This window comes from Homo sapiens, chromosome 22, assembly GCF_000001405.40.
Source record: "Homo sapiens chromosome 22, GRCh38.p14 Primary Assembly".
Taxonomy (NCBI): Eukaryota; Metazoa; Chordata; class Mammalia; order Primates; family Hominidae; genus Homo; species Homo sapiens.
Window position 1 is genome coordinate 48,775,593 of NC_000022.11, and position 5,165 is coordinate 48,780,757.

General features: G+C 48.4%; 1 non-coding gene across 1 annotated transcript; it reads left to right on the top strand.

Moving 5' to 3' along the window:
- Positions 1-4,702: 4,702 nt before the first annotated feature.
- Positions 4,703-4,761, top strand: MIR4535 (microRNA 4535). The gene has a single exon (NR_039761.1). It is a non-coding gene; the product is annotated as a microRNA 4535 (primary transcript).
- Positions 4,762-5,165: the final 404 nt, after the last annotated feature.

The window sequence follows — 5,165 nt, forward strand, 5'->3', positions numbered from 1 at the left end:
TTAATTGTGTTGTTTCCATTTTTATATGCTTATAAATAGTTTTGCTGTCTTGATTTACTGAGAAAGCTGTATGAAAATCTTCCAGTATGGGGATGGATTTATCTACTTCTCCTTGCAGTTCTATTAACTTTGGCATTATAAAATTTGGGACTACACCATGTGCATGCAAAGTGTTCTCCTGATGGATTTGACTTTTTTATTGTAAAATAGCCTTCCTCACCCCTAGAACTTTCATTTTGCTTTGAATATAGCTACACCAAGGCAGCTTTGATTTTCATTTGCTTCCAAGGCTCTGTCCTCTTTACTTTCAATATTTTTTTGTTATATTTTAGGTATGTTACATACTTAGTATATGACCATTTTTTAAAAATGAAATCTTTACACTTGCTATAACTAGTTATATTTGAATATTATCTATGTATACACAACTTTATGATATTTTTTCTGCCTTATCTGAGTTTCTTTGCTTTCTCCACCTCCTTTCTTGCTTTTTATCAAAAGCAAGTTTTCTCTCTCTCTGTCTTCCTCTCTCTCTGTTTCTCTCTCTGTCTGTGTGAATTTAATGTAGGAAGAGCCAGCACTTAGGCCAAATGACTACTAGGACAGAGGGGTTACTGGAACCTGGAAAATAAAAGTGATGGATAAAGCAGCCACCTTGAGAGGGGCAGTGGCCTTCTGTCAATGGACACAGCAGCTCTGGGACATTAAGGGAGTGAACCTGGGGAGTGAACTCCCTCACCCCACTCTCTTCCATCTCTTTGATCTGTCATTGGGTCTCCCCCTTGGCCAAGTCTTGCTACAAACCAGGGGGCTGGAGAGCCTGGGGTCAGCATGCACTGTGTGGTACTGCTGGCTCCATCATGATCCTCACATACTTTACTGGCCATCTTTATGTTCTTATACAATACAATCATCCATCTTTTATATGATTTGTGCGCTTTACACCACAACTGCTGACCTCCTGTACTAAGAATGATGATGAAATCTGCTTATTCAGCCTCTAGCTTGCCTTTTTCATCCACCCACTGCTTAGTTATGTAATTTCTATATTACTAGGGCTTAGAACAGTTATCACTCCATAACCATCATTTTCACAGTCTTAGCTTTAGTATTAACTTACAAGTCTTCATACAAACCTCACTACCAATTTATTTTCCATAGACTATTTCTTAAGCTCTTAGCTGGATGACTTTTGTCTGTTAGCAATGTCTTCAATAAAGTTTATGGGACTTCTTGCATATATATATATCTTTATACTGGAATAATAGTTTAGCAAGGTATAAAATTATTGAATGACTTTTTTTTAATGAAGTCTTTACGGAAACTGCTTCACACACTTCTGAAATCTCCTATGGAAAAGTCCTTTGACAGCTTTAGGGGGTGTGAATTCCCTCAGTATTATTTCTGTATCTTTCAAGACCAGTAATTTCATTTCCTCTTCTTCAGGGCTAACCGTTATATATATTTTGGAAATCTTCCTTGTCTTTTATTGCTATTGTATTTTTCTTATATTTAAAAACTAAAATTATTTCATTTGCTCAAGTTTTTTAAGCCTATTTTCCCCTGGGTATGGCTGTTCCAGCCTTATGATGCTTCAAATATAGCCTTCTCTGTGATGGCTTTCTTGATCTTTGTCATTTCCTCCCAAGGTCTGCCAAATTATTTTTATACTTTTCTTCTGTTTTATTATTGCCTCCATGAGCTCTTGTGTCTCTGCTTTTAAGGCTTTTATTTCCTGACTTATTATAACTTAAAAAAAAAACCATCATCTTTAAATCCATGTGATGCTATTTTTTCTTCATAATATTTTTCAGTCCTCTCCCTGACCAAATTTTTCTGTAATATATTTTTAGTTTCCTCCTCTACATTATTCCTATTTTTTCTTGTTATTTTTACTTGTGTTTGAATGAGGAGAGCTATTTTCAGGCCAGGTATCTGCAGAAAGACCGTGCGGAGAAGGGGCCAAAGTATGTACGTGGTCGGCACATCCACATCTTCTCTCTGGCTGCCAGTTAAGCACTGAGTGATACAGGGTGTGCGTCTGTGTCTGTGTGGACAGACATGTTGTGTTCCATATGACATCGGTCTGGTCTTAGCCTCCACATGTTGTATCAGTAGTTCAAAGCTGCTTCCTGTCCACATGAATCCTTGTTTCCATCACATATGGGACCCACTGTCTCCTGTAAAGATGGCAGGTCATGCATTCTTTGCTCCCTGCCAGCTTCGTGGCGCTTCGTGGTGTCACTGGTTTTCGGGAGTCCCCTGTAGCCTGTGCACACACCTCTTTCTGTTTTTTCACACGTACAGCTGTTGGTTCCGGTTCCCAGGGTGAGCCAGCTGCTTTGGAAACCAAGTGAGTGTGGCTGATTCTCTTGAGGCCTGTGGAAGTGACCCTGGCTTCTCTGCCCCTATCTAATTGTGACCCCTTAGCATTTTGATTTTACAAGTATATTAAAGTCCAGAGTAAGAAATGCCCCTCACTGCGGGTGGCTGCTGTTCCCAGCTTTTTATTCTCCTGGTTTTCACTGGCATCAGGAGAGGAGAGACAGCACACTGTCACGGTGGTTCACGGCGCAGCAAATTTCTAACAAGCTCTTCTGCGTCCCAGGGAGGTGAAGCTACCCGAGCAGGGTCTCACGGAGCTCGGGATTCGGGAGGTGAGAACCCAGAGCTGCCCTTCCCGTGCCTGTTATGGGTACCAAGGATGTAGCACTCATTACACAGACCCAAACAAGCCCTTTCCTGAAGTTACCGTGTAAACTATGTTAGACGCAAGAGGCACCATGGGGAAAAGTGAAACGGGCCAGGAGGGGTGTCAGGGTGGAGTGCTGGGTTTGGGGGTGCTGGATCAAGGATTCTGTTTCCAGTGGGAGGCCAGGGAAGGCCACACAGGTTATGGGTGTTTAAGCAAAGACCTGAAGGAGGCGAGGAAGAGCCCTGAGTGCAGCTGGGGAAGGAGGTGGCCGCAGCCCGTGCAGCTGGGGAAGGAGGTGGCCGCAGCTGCAGAGGCCTCGGCAGTGGGCCTTCTTCATGCTCCAGGCACAGGAGGAGAGGGAAGTGGAGGGATGCAGGGCCCTAGGGAGGAGTGGCAGGAGGTAGGGTCAGAGAGCGATGGGAGTGGAGACTCTGGAGGGTTCAGGCCCTGAGGGACTCTGCTGTTCTTCCAGGAGCAGGGCCACTGCACGGTCTGAGCAGAGAAGGACATGCTGTGACCCAGAAGATGCAGCTCCCCTGGCTGCTGTGGGGTCGTCGGCCTTTGGGGAGGCGAGGGCAGAAGTGGGGAGGCAGGCAGAGCTGGGACCGGCATGGCGGCAGGGCGTGGGGCTAACACGTGCTTGTTGAATGTCCTGGAAGCCTGGTCCCTGAGACATTGCCAGGGACACCAGCCCACCAGGGACGCAAAGCCCATGAAAGACAGATAAAGGGAGCCGCTCCCTGAGCCAGGAACCTACACACGGGAGATTAATCCATCCATTTCCGCGGCGAGGTGCCTGCTTCCCACGTGTGAGTAACTGATGTAAAATCATAAAATGGACCATTTGCCTTTATTTTCGTGTGACCTTGGACTTTGCAAAACTCTGAGCAACTTACTTGAAATTTAACCAAACGTCAGCAGAGAGCCTGGCTCCATAGTTCCCACTGATCCCGCGAGTCCGGGCTGGCCCCATTCAGCCCTTGCTGTCGAGCCCTGCAAGACGCACAGCCGGGGCCACGGTACCCACCGCCTTCCCTTCTCGCCTCTAAGGCAACAGAGGAGATCCCGTCCTGCCTGCCTGGCCCTGCTGGCACGCACAGCGTGGCTGGACTTGTTGCTCATTTCACTTAAACCCTATGACACCCTTCCAAGCAGGCCTCCCTCAGATCCCTGTGTTTGAGAAGGAGAAACAGGTTTCGAGAGGTGCCCTGGTCTCACGGAGCCCTGCAGCGGCGCGGAGCACCGGCGGTTCTGCAGCCAGGCTGCCCGGACTGTGCGGGGACTGGGTCTTTACACCCCAGAGCTTTCACGTAGCCGGTGCAGCTCACACCTTCACCCGAGGGGACAGGGGCTGGTGGCAAAGCCCCACATTGGCCTGAGTGACCGAGTAGCTGCAGGGACCCACTGGGATTTGAGGAGCAAAAGAAAGAAGAAAATAGGAAAAAAATCAACCTTTTTGAGCCAAAGCAGAATGAGTTTACTGAGAGTTAGACTGAGCTTGAAGGAGACGCAGTGCAGGTTTGCGGGCCGGCCCAGACTCCTGAAACAAAGCATCACAACCCACACCGGCGGCAAACACAACAGACATTGGTTCTCGCAGGCTCTGCAGGCTGGAAGTTCCAGATCGAGGTGTGTGGCCAGGGCCGGTTCCTCCTGAGGCCTCTCCTCGGGTTTAAGGTGGCGTCTTCTCCCTGAGTCCTCTCTTGGGCGTCCCTCTGTGCCTGTCTGCGTTCTCTTCTCTTCTATAATGACTCTTCTTCCCGGGTCCTGTTGGATTAGGGCCTGCCCGATAACTTCCTTTTAACCTCGTCACTTCTATAAAGGCCTTCTCTCTGAATACAGCCTCTTTCTGAGGCATTGGAGGTTAGGGCTTCCACACGTGGACTTTAGGGGTGCAGTTCAGCCCCAACAGTGGGTTTGTGAAAGAGGGGCCACAGTCGCCAACGTTGCTGCCATGGAGATGGCGGGGACCCAGGAGCACGGGCTCTTCACTGAGTCCTGAGCTGAAACTGGGTCCCAGTCTTCACAGTTGGTTTCTGACACGTGGACCTGGCTGGGACGATGTGGCTTGAGCAGCTTAATTCACTGGGTGGCTTCTGTCCTAGGCTGGCTCTGGGTCACTGAGATGAGAGGGCACAGTTCTCTCTTAAGAGGCTGGCCCCGTGCAGGCAGAATTCACACACACTGGGGGTTGGGACAGAGCAAGACACACAGTTCTGGAGCCCAAGGCGGTGGCTCCGACGTGCGCCACTGTGCTGGGGAAAAGGTGCATGCCTGGGACCCTATGCAGAACGTGGAGCCCTGTGTACAGGCCTCTGTCCATCCGCCCTTTGTCGTGGCTTTAATATTTTTCCCAAATGAAAGTGGTTTTGTTTTGATAACAACAGCAATCATAGCAAGCCTGCACCCAGTACTGAACTCACACCAGGCCCGGCTGAGCCCTGTAATGGAAGCGGTTCATTGAATCCCC